The sequence below is a fragment of the Homo sapiens genome, chromosome 22 (assembly GCF_000001405.40).
Source record: "Homo sapiens chromosome 22, GRCh38.p14 Primary Assembly".
In the NCBI taxonomy this organism is placed as follows: Eukaryota; Metazoa; Chordata; class Mammalia; order Primates; family Hominidae; genus Homo; species Homo sapiens.
Window position 1 is genome coordinate 28,735,659 of NC_000022.11, and position 24,442 is coordinate 28,760,100.

Consider the following 24,442-nt stretch of genomic DNA (forward strand, 5'->3'; position numbering starts at 1 on the left):
ATCACCTGAGATCAGGAGTTCAAGACCAGCCTGGCCAACACAGTCAAACCCCGTGTCCACTAAAAATACAAAAATTAGCCGGGTGTGGTGGCAGGCGCCTGTAGTTCCAGCTACTCAGGAGGCTGAAGCAGGAGAATTGCTCGAGCCCAGGAGGCAGAGGTTGCACTGAGCTGAGATCGCGCCACTGCACTCCAGCCTGGGTGACAGGAGTGAAACCCTGTCTCAAAAAAATTAATTAATTAAATAAATAAAATTTTAAAATAAAATAAAATAGGCCAGGTGCAGTGACTCACAACTGTAAACCCAATATTTCGGGTGGTGGAGGTAGGAGGATTGCTTGAGGGCAGGTGTTTGAGACCCCACCTCTACAAAAAATAATAACAATAATCTTTGTGTTAGATAATTTTGCCCAACTGTACCCTGACATAAGTGTTCTGAGCATGTTTAAAGGAGGCTAGGCTAAACTATGACGTTTGGTATCTTAGGTGTATTAAATGTAATTTCAATTTAACAATATTTTCAACTTAGAATGGTTTTATTTAGACATAATGCCATTGAAAGTTGAGGAGCATCTGTGTACTTTGGAAAGCAAAAGAAGACAAAAAATCAGGTGGCTTGATATAAAAGTCAAAAAGAAATTGTACAATAACCTGCTGCATTACTCCAAAGGGTCCATTTACATAAAATGTCACTGGTACCCCTTTTCCCCCAGGCTTGCTCCTAAAGTGAAACACACCTGTTCGTTCAATCTATATTCCCTGACACCTAAGGACCCAGTGACTTAATGAGGCAGAACACAAAGGAAGACAGCTCTTAACAACTCCACCTATCCCTTTGTGATGCTAAATAACCATAGGGCTTATCTTTTCAGCATCCTAAATGGCCTTCCGGCCTTGATGTAATCTTGCAGGAACCATTCTTTTATAAACTGGAGACCGTAACAGAGGCTTCCACCCTTGTCTTAGAATTAACCTGATAGACAGTTAGACTGTCATAACAGGCTGGGTGCAGTGGCTCATACCTGTAATCCCAGCACTTTGGGAGGCCAAGGCAAGAGGACCACTTGAGGCCACGAGTTCAATACCAGCCTGGCCAACATAGTGGGACCCCCCCCGCCCCCCGTACAAAAAATAAGAAAATTAGACATGATGGCATGCAGCTGTGGGCTCAGCTACTCAGGAAGGTGAGGTGGGAGGATCACTTGAGCCCAGGAGTTGAAGGCTGCAGTGAGCTATGATCATACCACTTACATACCAGCCTGGGTGGCAGAGTGAGACCCTATCTCCAAAGAACAGAAAACAAACCAAGACTCTGATAACAGAACCACCAGTAAAATCAAAGTAACATCCACTGCTGACCTAATCGGATTAACAAAAAAAAGGGAGGGAGAGGAGGGCATTCTCTTCCTCCCCAAACTCAGGCTACTACTCTAGGAGAACATAGGAAACAACACTATAGTAGTCCCCACCATCAGAGGGGGATAAGATCCAAGACCCCCCAGTGGATGCCTGAAACCTCGCATAGTACAGAACCCTATATAAATTATGCACAACTTTCTTTTTCCTTCTTCACAATTTCACAAATAGAAGATTAGTTCTTACCATAGACGTTAGCAGCCTCAGCATACAAATTTTTTTATTTCCATATTAAATTGAGATCTTTCACCTTTTCAGTAAAAGGAAACACTTTACAGCTTCTCTTTACAATATCCAAATTGCCAGCATCTTTTGCTTTGGGGCCATTATTAAATATAAGGGTGACATGAACACAAGCACTGCAAAACCATGTAATTTAAGACTTATGAACTGATTATTTCTTTTTTTTTTTTTTTTTGAAACGGAGTCTCAGTCACCCAGGCTGGAGTGCAGTGGCACAATTTTGGCTCATTGCAACCTCCACCTCCTGGGTTCAAGCAATTCTCCTGCTTCAGCCTTCCAAGTAGTTGGGATTACAGGCGCACACCACCATGCCCGGCTAATTTGTATATTTTTTTTAGTAGAGACAGGGTTTTCACCGTATTGGCCAGCCTGGTCTCAAACTGCAGACCTCAGGTGATCCTCAGGTCCACCTCAGCCTCCCAAACTGCTAGGATTACAGGCCTGAGCCACCATGCCCAGCCATGAATTGACTATTTCTTATGAATTTTCCACTTAATAGTTTCAGATCGCAGCTGACCATTGGTAAGTGAAACTACTACCGCTGATAAGGAGGGACTAAGATACCCACACTGATTGTATTTACACAGCTTTCAAGATACAAAGGTTCTGCCAGGTGTGGTGGTTCATGTCTGTAATCCCAGCACTTTGGGAGGCCAACGCAGGTAGATTGCTTGAGCCCAGGAATTCAAGACCAGCCTGGGCACCATGGTGAAATCCAGTATCTACAGAAAATACAAAAAATTAGCAGGGCATGGTGGTGTGCACCTGTAGTCCCAGCTACTTGGGAAGCTGAGGTGGGAGGATCACTTGAGTCCAGGAGGTTGAGGCTGCAGTGAGCCGTGATCGAGCCTGCACTCCAGCCTGGGTGACAGAGCGAGACCCTGTCTCAAGGAAAATAAAAAAGATACAAAGGTTCTGATGAGTTTTCTTTAAAACATACCAGGAAGGCAATGCCAAAACTGAGTATGCCACACCAGGGACTGCTGGTCTAATACTACCTGAGCCAGGCTGAGTCTTCCCCACAGCTTTTTAAGCAAGACAGGACAACTGGAGAAAATGTGTCAACAAGTTACTATGAGAGATTAGAGGCAAGCGGATCTGGAGTCAGACACTTGAGTGAAACTGTGCATGACTTTAGGTAGATCACAACTTCTCTAAACCTGTTTTCTCATCTGAAAATAAGTAGACAGACCATGAGGATTAAGTGAAGTGACGCATGTAATACTCCCCCCACCCACCCATGCTTGCTATCTGGGAGCTATTGCTATTGGAAAGCCATGCAGAGAAGTGAGTGAAAAACCAAAGTGAGGGCAGCAAAACTCCAGGACTGTAGACAGAAATCCAGTCCCAAAACCTATAAAACTACTAGAAGAAAACACTGGGGAAGTGCTCCAGGACACTCATCTTGGGCACAGGTTTTTTGGGCACAGGGTTTTTACGTAAGACCTCAAAAGCACAGGCAACTAAAGCAAAAACAGACAACTGGGATTTCATCAAGCTAAAAAGCTTCTGCACAGCCAAGGAAACAATCAACAAAGTGAAGAGACAACCCACAGAATGGGAAAAAACATTTCCAAACTAGCCATCTGACAAGGGATGAATAACCAGAATATATAAGGAGATGAAACTCAACTGCAGAAAGACAAATAATCCAATTTAAGAAATGGGCAAGCCAGGCACGGTGCCTCACATCTGTAATCCCAGCACTTTGGGAGGCCAAGGTGGGTGAATCATCTGAGGTCAGGAGTTCAAGACCAGCCTGGTCAACATGGCAAAACCACATCTCTACTAAAAATACAAAAAATTAGCTGGGCATGGTGGCCCGTGCCTGTAATCCCAGCTACTTGGTAGGCTGAGACACGAGAATCACTTGAACTCAGGAGACGGAGACGGAGGTTGCAGTGAGCCGAGATCGCACCACTGCACTCGAGGCTAGGTGACAGAGTGAGATTCTGTCTCAAAAAAAAGAAATGGGCAAAAGATCCGAAAAGACATTTCTCGAAAGAAGACATACAAATGGCCAACAGGTATATTAAAAAAATGCTCAACATCACTGATCACTGGAGAAATATAAATCAAAACTACAGTGAGGCCCGGGTGCAGTGGCTCATGCCTGTAATCCCAGCACTTTGGGAGGCGGAGGCGGGCAGATCACTTGGGGTCAGGAGTTTGAGACCAGCCTGGCCAACATGGTGAAACCTGTCTCCACTAAAAATATGAAAATTAGCTGGGCATGGTGGCAGGCGTCTATAATCCCAGCTACTTGGGAGGCTGAGGCAGGAGAATCTCTTGAACCCGGGAGGCAGAGGAGGCAGTGAGCCAAAATCGCGCCACTGCATTCCAGCCTGGGCGACAGAGTAAGACTCTGTCTCAAACAAACAAACAAACAAAAAAACCCACAATGAGATACCATCTCACCCAAGTTAAAATGGTTTGTATAAAAGATAGGCAAAACAGATGCTGGAAAGAATGTGCAGAAAGGGGAACTGTATAGAGTGCTCTTGACATAAGTAATTTTATCTTAGAAAAAGGCTCTATCTTATATTTTAAAAGGCATTATGCCAACAGGGACCAGATGTTTGTCTAATTAATAAAGACTGTACTGGCCATGTACAGTGGCTCACGCCTGTAATCTCAGCACTTTGGGAGGCCAAGGCGGGCGGATCACAAGGTCAGGAGATGGAGACCATCCTGGTCGACATGGTGAAACCCCAACTCTACTAAAAATACGAAACTTAGCTGGGCATGGTGGCGCGTGCCTGTAGTCCCAGCTACTCGGGAGGCTGAGGCAGGCGAATCGCTTGAACCAGGGAGTCGGAGGTTGCAGTGAGCCGAGATCGCACCACTGCACTCCAGCCTGGTGACAAAGCGAGACTCTGTCTCAAAAAAAACACTGTACTAAACCAGATAAGGATATAAATATGTACACGCTTTTGTTATTAGTCCTCACAAGAAAATTCTTTGGTCATAAGAGCAGGACTTTATTAGGTCAAAATGGCTGTCCTAACAGACACCATCTTGCTGTCACTCATGATTAACACCCAGTATCCGCCATCAAAGGCTCTGCCCGCATCAAAAACTCTTCCTTACAAGACACTGACACCCCAGATAAAGCCAAAACACTCTCTTTGTCCACATTGCTCTCCTTGGACTGGTTTGATAACCACTTTCCCTATCCCCTTTTCTCCGAATGTTAAATGTTACTTTAATGTAAGATTTTTAATCTATAACATTTACATATTAAATAAATATACTATTGTGTACGGTTTACAATACTGACTGACTTGTGGAATGGCTTGAGCCTGTGTGCCCATGGCTCTGACCACCAAGTAAACAGGGAGTACTACGGAAAATTGCTTCCTTGGGAACTCCATATAGCTCGTGGCTTTTACAATTAAAATAAAACATCAATAAGTCTGATCTTGTGGAAAGACACAAATGTGCATGGACCTGGTTATGTCTGACCTTGCACTGTTCACATACACCACTGGTGGGAATGCAAATTAGTATAGCCACTATAGAGAAGAGTATTGTGATTCCTCAAAAAATTGAAAATAGGCCGGGCGCGGTGGCTCACACCTGTAATCCCAGCACTTTGGGAGGCCAAGGCAGGTGGATCACCTGAGGTCAGGAGTTCGGGATCAGCCTGGCCAACATGGTGAAACCTCGTCTCTACTAAAAATACTAGCCGGGCATGGTGGCGGGTACCTATAATCCCAGATACTTAGGAGGCTGAGGCAGGAGAATCGCTTGAACCCAGGAGGCAGAAGTTGCAGTGAGCCCAGATCGCGCCACTGCACTCCAGCCTGGCAACAGAGAGAGACTCCGTCTCAAAAAAAAAAAAAAAAAAAAAAAAGGTACAGATGGTAATCATATATGTATACTTTATATCAAAAATAAATAATTTTTTTTAAAAATTCCAGAGGTCTTTCAAGTGAAACACAATATTTTTTTCAAGCAGAAAACCTAAGTCCGAAGGAGGACTGATGCCCTCCTACCCACTTCTGGCCACCCTATCCCATACATTTACTTAGGGACTTATTTAGGGACACGCAGAACATCCTCCTACACAGCTCAGTGCGTTTCCAGTCCCTGCAGCGCCCAGTAGCTAAGACTGGCTTCTCTATAAGTATTTTATAGATTGAACCTAAAGAATGGCAACGATTTCTAACATCTATAGAATTTTTACGAAGTCACTTCGCTCTGATATTGAAGAATACAACGCTGTTCTTCTTATCCTGTATGTTCAGGCCTGTTTCAGCTTGCAAGTAATACGGGAAGTGAACTTCACCTCGAGGATGATCTACTGAAAAGGAAGAGAGTCGCCCACACACTCCCCCTTCAGCTCAAAACTACAGACAAAGCGAAGCTCAGGAGACTCCGTTCGCACAAAACGCTTAAGATGGGATTCGAACCACCAAACACCCAACAGAAGTTCCCCATATGACTCACCGCGTGAGCCCACCTGGAGCCGCACACTCTCCGCAGCCTCAGCCAGCAGAGTGGCGCTAAACCTGCAGATACAAACTCCACCCTCAGCCAATCAAAACCCCCTCCCCTGCCGCCGGACCAATGAGGAGCAGCAGATGTGGCCGTCAGGCGCCGCCTCAATGCCTCCTGGGAGTTGTAGTTTAGAAGGGAGAGCGGAACTTAGAACCCGGGTTCCCCTCGGGTGATCCCGCCCCCTCGACTCCCCAGCCAATCAGCAACATTAGTCTGGTTAGACGCTCTCTTTGCTTTTCCCCACGAGTGACCACGGCTAGATAGGCCGCCGGCCAGATGTGGCGGGGGAGAGCCGGGGCTTTGCTCCGGGTGTGGGGGTTTTGGCCGACAGGGGTTCCCAGAAGGAGACCGCTAAGCTGCGATGCTGCGTCGCAGGCGGGAAGCAATTATCCCCGCTGTTGGAACTGCGGCGGCCCATGGGGCCCCGGGCGGGAGGACAGGTTCTTCTGCCCACAGTGCCGAGCGCTGCAGGCACCTGACCCCACTCGAGACTACTTCAGCCTTATGGACTGGTACGAGCGACGGTTTCGGGAAACGGGCCCGGGCGAGAGACACGTCGAGGTCTGGCCTGCGAGAGGGGAGGACGGATCTGGCTGGCGGAAGAGAAGGCGGGACTGATGGGGGGGCGGAGGTCTAGAGAGCAGGCGTGAGAGAAGTGTCTTGATTTCTCAGGAGGAAATTGAGAGGCGGGGACTGAGGGAAGCAACGTTGAGGTGTGGAGAAGGGAGACGAACGGGACTGGAGGGGCGGGCGCTGAAGTTAGAGGAAATAGGGGGGCCGAGGCTAGAGGGGAGGGAGATTTGAGGGGCGGTACCTACGGGAAAGGGAAGGAGAAGTCGAGGGGCGGAACTTGAGGAAAGGGTACTTGAGGGGCAGGGCCTGGGAGACTGGAAGACTTGAATGAATAGGGTGAGTAAGGTTTAAAGTTGGGTTGATGTATTTAAGAAAGGACTGCAGAAGTGTGATCCGAGATTAGGGAGTAAAGCATGAAAAGCTTAATATTGTGGGCGAGGCCTGAGGGAAAAGTGAGAATTGGAGGGAGAGGGTCCAATAAATGGTTTTTCCCCCTGAGACTGAGGTTCTTGGAGAGACGGGGCAGTGTGGATAGAGCTGAACTGGTAAGGAAATAGGACAGACTCTGGGAGTAGAATGTGAAAGGGGCTGAATTAAAATAAACCGGGAGAGACAGGGATGAAGGGACCTGGGCCGTGGAAAAGTTAGGGTGGTATTAAAGAAAACATGATTCAGTCACACTTGTTCAAGCACCAGAAAGACTTTCTTCAAGACCATCTTGTAGAGGGGCCACTGCAATAGGGTCTTGCAGTTGGGGAGAGAGATTGGTCTCAACTCCAAAAAGGGCATGGGCAGAAGGAAATTTGTAGCCAAGGAGCAGAGTAAACGGGATTCTGGCTAAGCCGACCTAACGGGATTCTTGCTGAAGACAGGCCAGGCTGCTTAGACACCACCTGGGGGATAGTAGAGGATGAAGAATCTGATCAGAGATCTAGGATGATCAAAAATATGAGGATCGAGGATTCTAGCTAAACTGACTTGGCAAGATTATTTGCCAAAACTGTATTTTACAAGAAAGCATACATCTGGGCCTAGGAGAAGGTTCAGAAATCTGACTAAAGTTTGGCCAGGCAAAGAATCTTTGTCTGTGTAATTTAGGAATGTCCCTTTTCCTTAACTATGGGATCTTCCCCACCAGTCACTGAACATGTATGAGGGGCTACAGTAACGCTGATCTTTAAGTTCCTCAGGCATCCCCATCTTGCTCCCACCTCGAGGTCCTTGCTCTTGCAATTCTACCTGGACGTCTCTTTCCTCTGATCTTTGATTACTCATCATCATTCAGGTTTCAGCTGAGTGTCATCTCTTTGTCCACTACATCTGCTACACTCTCTGACTCTGTTCTGTGTCCCTTCATAGGACTTACCACTTTTTGAAATTAACTGCTTATATGTTATTGCATCTTCCCCATAAGAGCAAGAACCAGGCTCATGGTAGATAAACCTTTAAATATTTGTTGTATAAATTTAATCTCCCAATTTCCTTCCAGCAACCGTTCCTTCAGAGTTGATACAGCGAAGCTCCAGCACAGGTACCAGCAACTGCAGCGTCTTGTCCACCCAGATTTCTTCAGCCAGAGGTCTCAGGTAGCTTATTGGCCAACCCCAATAATCCCCAAATATGTGTGCACACTGGGTGGCAGTAGCCTTGTGGTTATGTGATTATCAGGGACTGAGCTGGAAAATCAGCTGTGTCTGCCCCATGGCAGTCTGACCCCAGCCTGTCAGACCCAGAGCTGCCATTCACTCACAGCTTTTGTCTGACTTCCCAGATAACTTAAAACCTATCAGCTGAATATAAAGACACCTCATCCCACACCAGCTCTACTTAACCACTTCCTTAGGTGCCTGCCCATTAGAATATTATAAAACTTTGTGGGCCTGGCACAGTGACTCACGCCTGTAATCCCAACACTTTGGGAGGCCGAGGCAGGCAGATCACTTGAAGTCAGGAGTTCAAGACCAGCCTGGCCAACAGGGTGAAACCCTGTCTCTACTAAAAATATAAAAATTAGCCCAGTGCAGTGACACATGCTTGTAGTCCCAGCTTCTTGGGAGGCTAAGGCAGGAGGATCACTTGAACGTGGGAGGTGGAGGTTGCAGTGAGCTGAGTTCGCGCCACTGCACACTCCAGCCTGGATGACTCAACGTCAAAACAAAAACAAAAACAAAAAAACTTTGTGATTTGGATGGTAATAGTACTATCTTCATCTCCACTAACAGACTGAAAAGGACTTCTCAGAGAAGCATTCGACCCTGGTGAATGATGCCTATAAGACCCTCCTGGCCCCCCTGAGCAGAGGACTGTACCTTGTAAGGTGATTTCCCAACACTTCTGTGTATGACGTCCTGATGCCCATTATGGCGTAGGACAGCCACGTCCCCTTTATTCAGCAGAAGAGTGCTTGAGGTCAGGCATGGTGGCTCACACCTGTAATCCCAGAACTTTCAGAGGCTGAGGTGGTCAGATCACTTCAGCCCAGGAGTTCAAGACCATCCTGGGCAACATGATGACACCCCATTTCTACAAAAAATACAAAAATTAGCTGGGCATGTTGGCATACACCTGTAGTCCCAGCTACTCTGGAAGCTGAAGCAGGAGGATCACTTGAGCCTGAGAGGTCAAGGCTGCAGTGAGCTGTGATTGTACTACTGCACCCTCTCAAAAAAAAAAAAAAAAAGTCCAGGGACCCAATAGTATTTAGCCTCAGAGCACAAGTATAATTTTCTCTGTGAATATTACTTGCCTCAACTGCATTTTTTAAATTGTGATTTTCTAGCTTTTTTCTGTGAATTTCAAGGATTTGATGATGGTAGCTTTTAGTTAAGAGTCATTTTCTGTTTTGTTTTTTTTTCCTCTCCAGAGTATCTTAAGAGGCCAGGCATGGTGGCTCACGCCTGTAATCCCAGCACTTTGGGAGGCCGAGGCGGGTGGATCACGAGGTCAGGAGTTCAAGACCAGCCTGGTCAAGATGGTGAAACCCCGCCTCTACCAAAAATACAAAAAAATTAGCCGGGCATGGTGGCGGGTGCCTGTAATCCCAGCTACTCGGGAGGCTGAGGCAGAGAATTGCTTCCCCAGGAGGCAGAGGTTGCAGTGAGCTGAGATCACACCACTGCACTCCAGCCTGGGCGACAGAGTGAGACTTCATCTCAAAAAAAAAAAAGTATCTTACAATCTAGAAAATTTTATAATTGAATAGAATCTTTACAAACATCTAGTTCAACCTCTGAGTGGAGGAATGACTACCCCAAGATCACACCAAGGTCACATAGTTTTGGGTAGCATGAGTGGAAATCCCATTCCAGCATTTCTGTTTCAGTCCAAGCTTTTGATACCCCTTAGTCTTTCATTATCGGGACAGTTGCAGTTTTCTCTATTAGTGGTATTATTTCCTAATGGATGAGTAGGATTTACATTACTCTGCCCATAGCTTCTTCAACTTATTTTTCTTGCTTTCTACCCCAATAGCTAAAGCTCCATGGAATAGAGATTCCTGAAAGGACAGATTATGAAATGGACAGGCAATTCCTCATAGAAATAATGGAAATCAATGAAAAACTCGCAGAAGCTGAAAGTGAAGCTGCCATGAAAGAGATTGAATCCATTGTCAAAGGTGAAAGATAAAATAGCACTGAATGTATTTCATTGCTGTTATGAACACTTGTCCAAGGATTAGTGAAAAATGAACGTAGAGTATATAATGGCCCGGGTGCAGTGGCTCACGCCTATAATCCCAGCACTTTGGGAGGCCAAGGCAAGTGGATCACCTGAGGTCAGGAGTTCAAGATCAGCCTGGCCAACATGGTAAAACCCTGTCTCTACTGAAAATACAAAAATTAGCCGGGCGTGGTGGCGGGTGCCTGTAGTCCCAGCTACTCGGGAGGCTGAGGCAGGAGAATGGCGTGAACCCGAGAGGCAGAGATTGCAGTAAGCGGAGATCAGGCCACTGCACTCCAGCCTGGGCGACAGAGCGAGACTCCATCTCAAAAAAAAAAAAAAAAAAAAAAGGTTATTTATTTTAAGGAATTAGCTCACATAATTGTGGGAGCTGACACATCTAAAATCTATAGGGTAGGGCTGGGCACAGTGGCTCATGCCTGTAATCCCAGTATTTTGAGAGGCCGAGGAAGGCAGATCACTTGAGTCCAGGAGTTCGAGACCAGCCTGGGCAACGTGGCGAAACCCCATCTCTAAAAAAATACAAAAAAATCAGCCAAGCGTAGGCCAGGTGTGGTGGCTCACGCCTGTAATCCCAGCACTTTGGGAGGCCAAGGCGGGTGGGTCACCTGAGGTTGGGAGTTCGAGACCAGCCAGGCCAACATGGAGAAACCCCGTCTCTGCCTAAAATACAAAATTAGCCAGGCATGGTGGTGCATGCCTGTAATCCCAACTACTCGGGAAGCTGAAGCAGGAGAATCGCTTGAGCTTGGGAGGCGGAGCTTGCAGTGAGCCCAGATCGTGCCACTGCATTATAGCCTGGACGACAGAGTGAGACTCCGTCTCAAAAAAAAAAAAAAAATCAGCCAAGCGTGGAGGTGCGCACTTGTGGTCCCAGCTATTCAGGAGGATGAGGTGGGAGAATCATCTGAGCCCAGGAGGCAGAGGTTGCAGTGAGCTGAGATCACACCACTGTACTCCAGCCTGAGTGACAGAGTGAGACCCTGTCACAAAAAAAATAAACAAAATCTATAGGGGTAGATAAGCAGGCTGAAAGTCCAGGCAGGATTTCTATGTTACAGTCTTGATACAGAATTCCTTCCCAGAAAACCTGTTTTTGCACTTAATGCCTCTACTTGATTGGATGAGGCCCACCCACATTATATAGAGTAACATCTGTTACTTAAAGTCAACTGATTATAAATGTTAATCACATCTACGAATACTTTCACAGGATCATCTAAACTAGTTGGTTTTTGTTTTTTTTGAGACATGGTCTCACTCTGTCACCCAGGCTGGAGCGCAGTGTTGCAATCACAGCTCACTGCAGCCTTGACCCATGGGCTCAAACAGTCCTCTCACCTTAGCCTCTTGGATAGCTGGGACTACAGGCATGCATCACCATGCCTGGCTAATTTTTTCTGTCTTTTATACAGATGGGGTTTCACCATGTTGCCCAGGCTGGCTTCAAACTCCTAGGTTCAAAGCAATCCACCTTCCTCAGTCTCCCAAAGTGCTGGGATTACAGGTGTGACTCAATGTGCCTGGCATAGATTAGTGTTTGATCAAGCAACTGGGCACCATAGCCTAGCCAAGTTGACGCATAAAATTAACCATTCCACATAGAAAAGATTCCAAGGTTCTCCGTTAGACTATATTCAGTTATGTACTTTCACAAATATTTGTAGTGTACCTACAAATATCAAGCACTGTGCATGACACTGAGGATACAGCACGGAACAAGAAAGACTGTGCCTTCTTGGAGTTTATATATGTCAACTGTACCCAAAATGGAATTCCCAAGTGTCTCCCCTCCCCACCTTTCCCCCCCAAAAAAATCTGTTCCTCTTAGGCTGGGTGCAGTGGCTCACGCCTGTAATCCCAGCACTTTGGGAGGCCGAGGCAGGCAGATCACGAGGTCAGGAGATCAAGACCATCCTGGGTAACATGATGAAACCCTGTCTCTACTAAAAATATAAAAAATTAGCCGGGCGTGTTAGCACACGCCTGTAGTGCCAGCTACTCGGGAGGCTGAGGCGGGAGAATCGCTTGAACCCGGGAGGCGGAGGTTGCAGTGAGCCGAGATTGTGCCACTGCACTCCAGCCTGAGTGACAGAGCGAGACTCCGAATAAAAAATAATAATAATCTGTTCCTCTTCCAGTGTTCCCTGAGAGAGTGACACCACTTGCACAAGCGTAAATTCTGAGGAGGCCTTAACAACCTTCTTCTTCCTTATGCCCATAGTCAATCTATTACATCTGAAAGAGCTGACTTAAATTTGCCTCAAATTCATCCACCCATCTCTACTTTCACTGCCACCAGCCTTTTCCAAGCTACCATTCACTCTCACCTGGACAACTGCAGTAGCTTTTCACTGGTCTGTCCGTACCTTCAGGCCCCATCTAACAAATCCCTTCACTGTCACTGGAATCTTTTTGAAACCCAAGCGTTTTTTTTTGTTGTTTTGTTTTGTTTTTGAGACAGAGTCTTGCTCTGTTGCCCAGGCTGGAGTGCACTGGCATGATCTCGGCTCACTGCAACCTCCGCCTCCCAGGTTCCAGCTATTCTCCTGCCTCTGCCTCCCAAGTAGCTGGGACTACAGGTGCGTGCCACCATGCTTGGCTAATTTTTCTATTTTTTTTAAGTAGTGACGGGGTTTTACCATGTTGCCCAGGCTGGTCTCAAACTCCTGACCTCAGGTGATCCATCCATCTCAGCCTCCCAAAGTGCTGGGATTACAGGTGTGAGCCACCAAGCCCGGCCAAAACCCAAATCTAATCACTACTCTTGGCCTTATTTCAATTGACCAGGTGTGATGGCTTACGCCTGTAATCCAAGCACTTTGGGAGGCTGAAGTGGAAGGATCACTTGAGCCCAGGAGTTCAAGACTAGCCTAGTCAACATAGCAAGACCCCCATCTCCATTAAAAATTTAAAAATTAACCAGATGTGGTGGCGCATGCCTGTAGTCCCTGCTACTCGAGAGGCTGAAGCAGAAGGATCACTTGAGCCCAGGAGGTGGAGACTGCAGTGAACCGTGTTTGCACCATTGCACTCCAGTTTCAGCAACAGAGCGAAAACACGTCTCAAAGAAAAAAAAAAAAAACTTTTAAGTGGCTTCTCACTGCTCTAAAACTCTTTAGCATCCCTTACAGGGCCCGGATGCCGTGGCCTCTGCTTCTCTCTGTTTTGCCTTCTCCACTCCAGCCACAATGACCACTTCCAGTTCCTCATCTATACTGGGCACCCTCCTACCCTAGGGCCTGTTGCTTCTGCCTGAAACCCTCCTCTCCTCCGCCCCATTTAAGTTAACCCCTCCTTCTTCAGATCTGAAGGCAATCATCACTTCCTCAGAGAAGCCTTTTTAAGCTATCTATTAGTAGTGGCTATTTCTTTTGTAGGACTAATCACAGTTATAACTTTACTGTTCTATGTGACATTAATTGATCAATATCAGCCTCCCTCATTAGACTGGAAGTTCTGCAGGAGAAATCATGTCTACTTTTTGCTTCCCTCACATCCTCAGCTCACAGAAAAGTACTTATAGTTTAAAAGGAACTTGGTATTTACTAAATGAGCAAACAGTAATGAGAAAAGATGTTTAAAGCAGTAATATAGAATTTGTGGTGAGGGGACCGTCAGCTTGGAGATATGTTCACAGCATTAGGACTGGGTTGTAGGGATAAGAGAAACTCAGGAGTTGCAGTCAGTGGGCTCAGCTGCCCAATTTTAGACGTCAGGGCAGCATGAAGATCTGGAGTGAGGGCAGCGTGCTACTGACTTTGCGTGACCTTGAACAAATGACTTCATTCCTCTGAGCCTCAATTTCCTCATCTGTACGTGGAGATAATATTAGTACTGGTGGTTGTGGGGATCAAGTTAAATGAGATAAAGCACGTAAAAGCATGTATTCTAGGCCAGGTTTGGTGTCTTATGCCTATAATCCCATTACTTTGGGAGGCTGAGATGGGCAGATTACCTGAGGTCAGGAGTTCAAGACCACCCTGACCAACATGGCAAAACCCTGTCTCTACTAAAAATACAAAATTAGCCGGGCATGGTGGCACACACCTATAATCCCAGCAACTTCAGAGGCTGAGGCAGGAGAATTGCTTGAACTCAGGAGGTGGAGGTTGCAGTGAGCCGAGATCGCACCATTGCACTACAGCCTGGGCAACAAGAGCGAAACTGTCTCAAAAAAAAAAAAAAAAAAAAAAAAAAAAACACTTATTCTAGCCCTATAGTAAACATTTGACTTTGAGCAGCTCACTGACCTTAATTTAGATTAATTCCTAAATTTTCTCCTGTAAGGTATCTGCTATGGCCCAGGTAAAATTAATGTTCAAGGGCATAGAGCTAGTTAATTTTAGGGTCAGGGCTTAAGAACCTCCAGGTTCCTAGTCTGTTGTTCTTTTGTGGACACCACACTGCTACCTGAGAGATGAGTTTCAAACACCGGACTGGGAGTCAAGTGACTTGGATTCTGTTCCCAGCTCTTCCACTCATCACCCATGGGACAATTCCCCCAATACCTGTCATTTCCTGCCTTACGGATATAATGTATTTGACAGTGCTTCGAAAGACGACACCATATAAATAACTGACACTATTTATATCTGGAAAATGAGATTACTGGAAAATTCCTCATTTTCTAACAAGGAAACGAGAAATATGAGATAGCTGCTGCTTTATTTTGTTTGGCATCTTCTCCCTTATGACACAACATGATGTAAATGTTTTCATTTTCCTGAGAGGCTATACAGTTTGCAAGTGGTTGCCGGAAACACTCAGTAATGCTTTACTGATAGGTGTTCCCAGCATGTTAATGTTCTCCTTGCTGAAATGTCGAAGACCCAAACTGTTTCGTGGAGATAATCAAAGTATATCTTTGTCTTTTTTTTTTTTTTTTTTTTTTTTACTGATTCTATAGCCATTTTATAAGCCTTGGTGATTGCTCCTTAGACCTTTCATGGTTGGAAAAACAGTGTTATTAGGGTAAACCAGAGTTGTGCTAAACAGCAGCTGCCATCATGGTACACACAGAGACAAAGGTTATGAAGCCTTACCCTTGAATACAAACTTCCTCCTTTGTTGTGTTCAAACCAGCATGATTACAAAGTTTAAGTATTGTCTTCATATTATGAGTCTATTTCAATGGAAAAATTAACAGAATGGTTTTCTTTTTCAGCTAAACAGAAAGAATTTACTGACAATGTGAGCAGTGCTTTTGAACAAGGTACTTTCTTTTCTTCACTTTCTTAAATATGGAAAGAAATTTCAAGCACTGAAGCATAGCCATTCATTCAATAACTAGCTATTATATACCTTCCTATGATAGCTATATAGGGAGATATGAAATACTTATGAGTCTACATTTCTGTCTTTAAAAAAATGCCTTTAAGAATCTACATTTCTGGCCAGGCACGGTGGCTAATGCCTGTAATCCCAACACTGGGAGGCTAAGGCGGGCGGATCACGAAGTCAGGAGATTGAGACCATCCTGGCTAACACGGTGAAACTCTGTCTCTACTAAAAATACAAAATTAACTGGGTGTGGTGGCACAACGCCTGTAGTCCCAGCTACTTGGGAGGCTGAGGCAGGAGAATCGCTTGAACCAGGGAGGCGGAAGTTGGAGTGAGCTGAGATCGTGCCACTGCACGCCAGCCTGAGTGACAGAGCGAGACTCCATCTCAAAAAAAAAAAAAAAATCAACATTTCTGCCTTTCTAGAGAAACAAACTATATCAAAAAAGTGATCTGGGAACAGTGACTCACGCCTGTTATCCCAACACTTTGGGAGGGTGAGGTGGGCAGATCACTTGAGGTTAGGGGTTTGAGACCAGCCTGGCCAACATGGTGAAACTCCAGCTCTACTAAAAATACAAAAATTAACTGAGTGTGGTGGCATGTGCCTACAGTCCCAGCTACTCAAGAGGCTGAGGCCAGGAGAATTGCTTGAACCAGGGAGGCTGAGGTTGCAGTGAGCCAAGATCACGCCACTGCACTCCAGCCTGGGCAACAAAGCGAGACTCCCTCTCAAAACAAACAAAAAAAAAACCTGAAGGAGGAATGAAGCTATTCTCAGGCAAATAAAAATTGAAGGAATTTGGGCTGGGCGCGGTGGCTCACACTTGTAATCCCAACACTTTGGGAGGCCGAGGCGGGTGGATCAAGAGATCAAGACCATCCTGGCCAACATGGTGAAACCCCATCTCTACTAAAAATACAAAATTAGCCAGGCGCAGTGGCGCGCCTGTAATCCCAGCTACTAGGGAGGCTGAGGCAGGAGAATCGTTTGAACCTGGGAGGCGGAGGCTGCAGTAAGCCAAGATCACGCCACTGCACTCCAGCCTGGTGACAGAGCAAGACTTTGTCTCAAAAAAAAAAAAAAAAAAAATTGGGCCGGGCATGGTTAATGATGCCTGTAACCCCAGCACTTTGAGAGGCTGAGGCTGGCGGATCACAAGGTCAGGAGATTGAGAATATCCTGGCTAACACAGTGAAACCCTGTCTCTACTAAAAATACAAAAAATTAGCCAGGCCTGGTGGTGACCGTCTGTAGTCCCAGCTACTCGGGAGGCTGAGGCAGGAGAATGGCGTGAACCCGGGAGGCGGAGCTTGCAGTGAGCAGAGATCGCGCCACTGCACTCCAGCCTGTGCAACAGAGCGAGACTCCATCTCAAAAAAAAAAAAAAATTTGTTGACAGGAGACCTGCCACGTAAAAAAAATGTTAAAAGAATTGATTGGCTAGGCGTGGTGGCTCACGCCTGTAATCCCCACATTTTGAGAGGCCAAGGTGGGCGGATCACAAGGTCAGGAGTTCGAGACCAGCCTGACAAACATGGTGGAACCCCGTCTCTACTAAAAATACAAAAAGTAGCCAGGCATGGTGGCGCTCGCCTGTAATCCCAGCTACTCCGAAGGCTGAGGCAGGAGAATGGCTTGATCCCGGAAGTCGGAGGTTGCAGTGAGCCGAGATCACGCCAATGCACTCCAACCTGGGTGACAGAATGAGATGCCATCTCAAAAAAAAAAATTATTTAGAGTGGAGGAAATTTATATAGGTCGGAAACTTGGGTCTACATAACGAAAGGAAGACCATTGGAGAAAGGAATAAGTAAATGCAAAATTAAAACTTATTTTTTAAATTGATCTAACAAAGTGTTTTCAAAATAATAAAAGCAACATTAGACCGGGCGTGGTGGCTCACATCTGTAATCCCAGCACTTTGGGAGGCTGAGGCGGGCGGATCATTTGAGGTCCGGAGTTCGAGACCTGCCTGGCCAACATGGTAAAACCCCATCTCTACTAAAAATACAAAAAAATTAGGGTGGCATGGTGGCGGGCGCCTGTAATCCCAGCTACTCAGGAGGCTGAGGCAGGAAGATCGCTTGAACCCGGGAGACAGATGTTGCAGTGAGCTGAGATCGCACCATTGCACTCCAGCCTGGGCGACAAGAGAAAAACTCCAACTCAAAAAAAAAGGATAGAAATTCTGACACCAGCCGGGCACGGTGGCTCACGCCTGTAATCCCAGCACTTTGGGAGGCTGAGGCGGGTGGGTCATGAGGTGAGGAGATCGAGACCATCCTAGCTAACACGGTGAAACCCCGTCTCTACTAAATATACAAAAAATCAGCCAGGCGTGGTGGCGGGCACCTGTAGTCCCAGCTACTCAGGAGGCTGAGGCAGGAGAATGGCGTGAACCTGGGAGGTGGAGCTTGCAGTGAGTGGAGACCACCTCACTGCACTTCGGCCTGGGTGACACAGGGAGACTCCATCTCAAAAAAAAAAGAAATTCTGACACAGGACCGGGCGCGGTGGCTCACGCCTGTAATCCTAGCAGTTTGGGAGGCCAAGGTCGGCAGATCACAAGGTCAAGAGTTCTAGACCAGCCTGGCCAACATGGTGAAACCCCGTCTCTGAAAAATTAGCTGGGTGTGGTGGCAGATGCCTGTAATCCCAGCTACTCAGGAGGCTGAGGCAGGAGTATCGCTTGAAATTGGAAGGTGGAGTTTGCAGTGAGCCGAGATCGTGTCACTGCACTCCTGACGGCAACAAGAGCGAAACTCCATCTCAAAAACAAACAAACAAAAAAAAATCTGACACAGGCTCCAACATGGATGAACCTTGAGGACATTGTACTATGTGAAATGTCAGTCACAAAAGGACAAATACTATATAATTCCACTTATATGAGGTACCTGTGGTAGTCAGATTCATAGAGAAAGTGGAATGGTGGTTGTGGGGGGATAGAGTCAGGAAGAGGAAAATAGAGAGTTATTTCATAAGTAGAGAGCTTCAGTTTTGCAAGATGAAAAGAGTTCTGTGGAAGGTCAGGCACGGTGGCTCCCACCTGTAATCCCAGCACTTTGAGAGACTGAGGCAGACAGATCATCTCAGGGCAGGAATTTGAGACCAGCCTGACCAACATGGTGAAACCCCGTCTTTACTGCAAATACAAAAATTAGCCAGGTGTGATGATGCATGCCTGTAATCCCAGCTACTTGGGAGTCTGAGGCACAAGAATCACTTGAACCCGGGAGGTGGAGGCTGCAGTGAGCCAAGATCATGCCACTGCATTCCAGCCTGGGCAACAAAGCAAGACTCTATCTCAAAAAAAAAAAGTTATGTGGATGGATGGTGGTGATGCTTGCCCAACAATGTGAATGTACTTAATGTCATTGAACTGTACACTTAGAAATGGCTAACATGATGAATTTTATGTCATGTGTTACCAACTTAATTTTTTTTTTTTTTGAGACTGAGTTTTGCTCTTTCGCCCAGGCTAGAGTACTGTGGCATGATCTCAGCTCACTGCAACCTCAGCCTTTCGGTTTCAAGTGATTCTCCTGCCTCAGCCTCCCAAGTAGCTGTGATTACAGGAGCCTGCCACCACACCCGGCTAATTTTTGTATTTTTAGTAGAGATGGGATTTCACCATGTTGGCCAGGCTGGTCTTGAACTCCTGACCTCATGATCCGCCCACCTCGGCCTCCCAAAGTGCTGGGATTACAGGCGTGAGCCACCGCGCCTGGCCCTAAAATTTTTTGAATACAAAAAAGATGTTAAATAGGCCGGGCGCGGTGGCTCACGCCTGTAATCCCAGCACTTTGGGAGGCCGAGGCGGGCGGATCACGAGGTCAGGAGATGGAGACCATCCTGGCTAACACGGTGAAACCCCGTCTCTACTAAAAATACAAAAAATTAGCCGGGCAAGGTGGCGGGCACCTGTAGTCCCAGCTACTCAGGAGGCTGAGGCAGGAGAATGGCGTGAACCGGGGAGGCAGAGTTTGCAGTGAGCCAAGATTGCGCCACTGCACTCCGGCCTGGGTGACAGAGCAAGACTCCATCTCAAAAAAATAAAATGTTAAATAAATTAAATTGAGAAATGAAATACGACCAAGGCCTTCCAAGTCCCTGGTTGACATTTTGCCATTACATCTCCCTTCCACAGTAACCACTCCTGAATTTTGTGTTACTCATTCCCTTGCTTTTCTTGATAGTTTTAACCATATATGTACATAATAGTATATTATTTAGTCTCACATATTTTTCTTTATATAAATAATACATATCCTTCTGTGACTTTTTTGCTTAATATTTTATTTTTGGAGTCATCTGGAATGATGCAAATGGTTATAACATATCTTCATTTTAGCACTCTTCACATTGTGTTTTACTTATCTAAGTCAGGTTTTCTCAACCTTGGCACTACGGATATTGTAAGCCAGATAATTCTTCGTTTGGGGGAGCTGTCCTGAGTACTATAAGATGATTAGCAGCATCCCTGGCCTGTACCCACCAGATGTCAGTACTACCTCCCAGCTGTGACAACCAAAAATATCTCCAGACATTGCCAGATGTCCCCATGGGGGCAAAATCATCCCCAGTTGAAAATCACTGGTCTGGCCAGGCATGGTGGCTCACACCTATAATCCCAGCACTTTGGGAGTCCAAGGCAGGCGGATCACTTGAGATCAGGAGTTTGAGAGCAGCCATGGCCAACATGGTGAAACCCTGCCTCTACTAAAAATGCAAAAATTGGCCAGGCATGGTGGCGCACACCCTGTAGTACCAGCTACTCTGGAGACTGAGGCATGAGTATTGGTTGAACCCGGGAGGTGGAGGTTGCAGTGAGCTGAGATCACGCCACTGTACTCCAGCCTGGGCAACAGAGTGAGGCTCCATCTCACAAAAAAAAAAAAAAAGGAAAATCACCGGTCTAAAGGTGTCTTTCTTGGGAACTATAAGCCCCCGGAGGGTACCTCTGTGCCTCAGCACCTGAACTGTAAGCCCCCTGAAGGCAGCTCTATGCCTCAGCACCTGGCATAGAGGAAGCATTCAGTGCTTTCATATCCTCAGTATACCACCACATGTTAGGGAGAAATTTTTAAAACACAACCACCCACCCTTTTTTTTTTTTTTTTAAAGAGACAGGGTCTCACCCTGTCGCCCAGGTTGAAGTACAGTGGCACAGTCATAGCTCAGTGCAACCTCAAACTCCTGGGCTCAAGGGATCCTCCCACCTCAGCCTCCCGAGTGGCCAGGACTACAGGCATGTGCCACCATGCCTGGCTAATTTTTTATTTTATTTTTTATTTTTTATTTTTTATTTTTGGTAAAGACAGGGTCTTGCTTTGTTGCCCAGGCTGGTCTTCAATTCCTGGGCTCAAGCCATCCTCCCGCCTCAGCCTCCCAAAATGCTGGGATAGCAGGTATGAGCTCCTGCATCTAGCTTCCACCACCCATTTATTACTTGGGACTGTCCTGAAGAGAATCAACTTCTCTAATTTATGTGAATCCTGTACACATGCTCTTACACAACTCTCGCCCCATTTGGTTTATCCCTGTGTCTCCTTAACAATCCAGATGTTCTCCCTCTTCGTTGCTCAGTCTTACTGAGGAATTGATGAGCCCTCCGGACCCCAGGGCTCCACTTATATATCGCTGCCCTAGTCATCAGAGTTGGTTTTATTCTTGCTTGAAATGAAGCCTGACTTCAGTGTCTCTGTCTATTTCAGATGACTTTGAAGAAGCCAAGGAAATTTTGACAAAGATGAGATACTTTTCAAATATAGAAGAAAAGATCAAGTTAAAGAAGATTCCCCTTTAATTGTGGATAGTTTAAAGTTTAAAAAATAAAGTTCTTGCTGGGCACAGTGGCTCACACCTGTAATCCCAGCACTTTGGGAGGCTGAGGTGGGTGGATGACAAGGTCAGGAGTTCAAGACCAGCTTGGCCAACATAGTGAAACCCCGTCTCTGCTGAAAATACAAAAATTAGCCGGGCATGGTGGCGCGTGCCTGTAATCCCAGCTACTTGGTAGGCCGAGGCAGGAGAATCGCTTAAACCCGTGAGGTGGAGGTTGCAGTGAGCAGAGATCACGCAACTGCACTCCAGCTTGGGCAACAGAGTGAGACTTAATCTTGAAAAATAAATAAATGAAAAATAAAATTCTTGTATATTTCTTTTCTGGCTTCTGGTAATTGGGAATAGATAAGCCTTTACCGTTTATATCATCTTAATTAAGCCTATGGCTCAAGCATTAGTGGATGGCAAAGTTTGTCATGTGGGAAGAAACACAGCCTAGTCAGAGCTTGGGTGGTCAGTTCTTCATCTGATACTTGATACAACATGACCCCAGTGTAGGCTAATGGTTGAAGAGGTGGAGATGGGGCCAATTTGAGGCCCTACAAAGAGGAATCCAAAAACTTCTCTGCAAAGGGCCTGGTAGTGAATATTTTCAACTTTGTGGACTATATCAAGGGTCCCCAACCTGTTAGGAACTGGACCCCACAGCAGGAGGTGAGTGGCAAGTGAGCGAGCAAGCAAGCATTACCGCCTGAGCTCCGTTTCCTGTCAGATCCGCTATGGCCTTAGATTCTCAAAGGAACATGAACCCTATTGTGAACTGCACATGTGAGGGTTCTAAGTTGCATGCTCCTTGTGAGAATCTAATGCCTGATGATCTGAAGTGGAATAGTTTCATCCCAAAACCATCCTCCAGCACCGTCCCCATCCATGGAAAAACAGTCTTCCATGAAACCACTTCCTGGTGCCAAAAAGGCTGGGGACTGCTGGACTATGTGGTCTCTGTTGTAACTGCTGTTCTGCCATTGTGACACAAAATCAGCATAGACAATATGAAAACAAATGGACAGGGCTGTGTGCCAGTCAAACTTTACAAAACAGATGATGAGCCAGATTTGGCCATGGCTCTGCCAACCTCTGCCCAAGAGCCACAACTTTCTAATGGCATGATCCTCCTCCCTAAGATAGGTAGTCCCCTTTGGTACTGTGGCCTTGGGGTATTCAGTTTGCTAACAAGCAAGGCTGCCTAAGGGTCTCTTTGGTCTAAATTTCAAATTGTAGATAATATTATAAAGAATTAATCTGGTATTAGGCCGGGCATGGTGGCTCATGCCTGTAATCCCTGTACTTTGGGAGGCTGAGGCGGATAGATTACCTGAGGTCAGGAGTTCGAGACCAGCCTGGCTAACATGATGAAACCCTGTCCCTACTGAAAATACAAAAAATTAGCTGGGCATGGTGGTGCGCACCTGTAATCCCAGCTACTCAGGAGGCTGAGGCAGGAGAATCGCTTGAACCCGGGAGGCGGAGGTTGCAGGGAGCCGAGATTGCGCCACTGCACTCCAGCCTGGGCAACAAGAGCAAAAAACTCCATCTTAAAAAAAAAAAAAAAAAAGAATTAATCTGGTATTAAGCACTAACCACATTTTCTGCTCCATCTTAGTGGAGTGGAGCAGTTGTGTTACTCTCTGGACAGTTGATGCACTTGTCACTATTTCCATGCTCTTCTAATTCAGCCCAGTGCATCTCTACTTCCCCTTCTGTATCTTTGGAAATTCAGTTTAAGTTCTTGATCCCTTTCCAGAAAAACAAACAAACAAAAAAACACTTAAAAAGTCTCTGGATCAGGGAAAATTTGAATAGCAAACAGAAAATTCTGATTAAAAATTCCAACAAGGCCGGGCGCGGTGGCTCATGCCTGTAATCCCAGCACTTTGGAAGACCGAGGCAGGCGGATCACCTGAGGTCGGGAGTTCAAGACCAGCCTGACCAGCATGGAAAAACCCCGTCTCTATTAAAAATAAAAATAAAAAAAATTAGCCAGGTGTGGTGGTGCATGCCTGTAATCCCAGCTACTTGGGAGGCTGAGGCAGGAGAATTGATTGAACCCAGGAGGTGGAGGTTGCAGTCAGCTGAGATCGTACCACTGCACTCCAGCCTAGGCGACAGAGCAAGACTGTCTCAAAAATAAAAATAAAAATAAAAATAAAAAAATTCCAAGAAACAACATTTTAACTCTGGAGATAATTGCCTGTTTATAATTGGAAAAAAGACAGGGAGTCTGAACCAAAGTTTAAATACTACTCCAAGAACTTGAAACTGTAGCTCCTTTGCAGTTTCTTTTTTTTTTTTTTTTTTTTTTTGAGACAGAATCTTGCTATTTTCACCCAGGCTGGAGTGTAATAACACGATCTCAGCTCACTGCAACCTCCACCTCCGGGGTTCAAGTGATTCTCCTGCCTCAGCCTCCCAAGTAGCTGGGATTACAGGCACCTGCCACCATGCCTGGACATTTTTTAGTATTTTTAGTAGAGTCGGGGTTTCACCATGTTGGCCAGACTGGTCTCGAACTCCTGACCTCAGGTGTTCCACCCGCCTCAGCCTCCCAAACTGCTGGGATTACAGGCATGAGCCACTATCCCAGTTTCTTATCCTTGTTGAAAAATGTGTATCTTGTGAATACCGAACCAGTTATACTCAGTTAACATTTTATAATTCACTGATCTTTAGAAGGCAAAGTAACCACAGCAGCTGTCGGGCTTAATGATACTTGGGAACATCAGTACAATTCCACCCCCTCACAATATACTAGGAGAATGAATTACTTGTCTGAAAACACACCAGGAGTCCTTTAAGTAAATAATTACAGTGCAAGCATATGTCCTCATTTAATTGGGTGCTTCTGCAAAACAAAGGAGGAAATGAAAGGAGGGTTTGAAATACTTGTGTAGAC

General features: G+C 46.0%; 2 protein-coding genes across 29 annotated transcripts in view, besides 6 other annotated features; one reads left to right on the forward strand and one right to left on the reverse strand.

Moving 5' to 3' along the window:
* Window positions 1-6,176, reverse strand: part of CHEK2 (checkpoint kinase 2) — a 54,093-nt gene extending 47,917 nt beyond the window's left edge. For 9 of the 21 annotated variants that reach the window (NM_001437942.1, NM_001349956.3, NM_145862.3 and 6 more), the window contains exon 1: window positions 6,111-6,162. Coding sequence is in view for 8 of the 21 variants with exons in the window: in XM_011529839.3 (XP_011528141.1) it covers window positions 1,602-1,625 (24 nt within the window). In the remaining 13 variants the exon portion in view is untranslated. Of the gene's footprint in view, window positions 1-1,601; window positions 3,169-6,110 lie in introns of those variants that run through there. The other 12 variants (XR_937806.3, XR_937807.3, XM_011529844.3 and 9 more) reach the window with 8 other exon arrangements.
* Window positions 631-1,148: an enhancer, noted in NCBI's record as "OCT4-NANOG-H3K27ac hESC enhancer chr22:29132277-29132794 (GRCh37/hg19 assembly coordinates)". NCBI's record gives its function as "activates a minimal SCP1, AML or CMV promoter by ChIP-STARR-seq in naive and primed H9 embryonic stem cells {active_cell/tissue: H9 hESC(naive and primed)}" and the evidence as "EXISTENCE:reporter gene assay evidence [ECO:0000049][PMID:30033119]".
* Window positions 1,149-1,666: an enhancer, noted in NCBI's record as "H3K27ac hESC enhancer chr22:29132795-29133312 (GRCh37/hg19 assembly coordinates)". NCBI's record gives its function as "activates a minimal SCP1, AML or CMV promoter by ChIP-STARR-seq in primed H9 embryonic stem cells {active_cell/tissue: H9 hESC(primed)}" and the evidence as "EXISTENCE:reporter gene assay evidence [ECO:0000049][PMID:30033119]".
* Window positions 2,171-2,671: an enhancer, noted in NCBI's record as "H3K27ac hESC enhancer chr22:29133817-29134317 (GRCh37/hg19 assembly coordinates)". NCBI's record gives its function as "activates a minimal SCP1, AML or CMV promoter by ChIP-STARR-seq in naive H9 embryonic stem cells {active_cell/tissue: H9 hESC(naive)}" and the evidence as "EXISTENCE:reporter gene assay evidence [ECO:0000049][PMID:30033119]".
* Window positions 5,909-6,108: an enhancer, noted in NCBI's record as "active region_18804". NCBI's record gives its function as "activates an Ori minimal core promoter by ATAC-STARR-seq in GM12878 lymphoblastoid cells {active_cell/tissue: GM12878}" and the evidence as "EXISTENCE:reporter gene assay evidence [ECO:0000049][PMID:35858748]".
* Window positions 6,374-21,852, forward strand: HSCB (HscB mitochondrial iron-sulfur cluster cochaperone). 8 transcript variants are annotated; one of them, NR_134560.2, is made up of 6 exons: window positions 6,381-6,673; window positions 8,224-8,265; window positions 8,957-9,046; window positions 10,206-10,350; window positions 15,583-15,630; window positions 21,420-21,852. NR_134560.2 is itself a non-coding variant. In XM_005261359.5 (6 exons), exons 1-6 carry the CDS (start codon window positions 6,523-6,525, stop codon window positions 21,509-21,511), a joined length of 672 nt encoding a protein of 223 aa, XP_005261416.1. In that variant the 5' UTR covers window positions 6,381-6,522; the 3' UTR covers window positions 21,512-21,852. The 8 variants fall into 8 exon arrangements, 7 of the variants coding, with proteins under 7 accessions (NP_001350785.1, XP_005261416.1, NP_741999.3 ...); XM_005261359.5 differs by having other exon boundaries at window positions 6,381-6,722; window positions 8,224-8,320; NM_172002.5 differs by having other exon boundaries at window positions 8,224-8,320.
* Window positions 6,639-6,718: an enhancer, noted in NCBI's record as "active region_18805". NCBI's record gives its function as "activates an Ori minimal core promoter by ATAC-STARR-seq in GM12878 lymphoblastoid cells {active_cell/tissue: GM12878}" and the evidence as "EXISTENCE:reporter gene assay evidence [ECO:0000049][PMID:35858748]".
* Window positions 6,789-6,848: an enhancer, noted in NCBI's record as "active region_18806". NCBI's record gives its function as "activates an Ori minimal core promoter by ATAC-STARR-seq in GM12878 lymphoblastoid cells {active_cell/tissue: GM12878}" and the evidence as "EXISTENCE:reporter gene assay evidence [ECO:0000049][PMID:35858748]".
* Window positions 21,853-24,442: the final 2,590 nt, after the last annotated feature.

Bases quoted from the DNA above. Each gene is read 5' to 3' on its own strand.
- HSCB (NM_172002.5), top strand. From the start codon at position 6,438: ATGTGGCGGGGGAGAGCCGGGGCTTTGCTCCGGGTGTGGGGGTTTTGG. The intron at 10,351-15,582 runs GTGAAAGATAAA...TTTCTTTTTCAG, and splicing joins GATTGAATCCATTGTCAAAG to CTAAACAGAAAGAATTTACT. The intron at 15,631-21,419 runs GTACTTTCTTTT...TGTCTATTTCAG, and splicing joins GAGCAGTGCTTTTGAACAAG to ATGACTTTGAAGAAGCCAAG.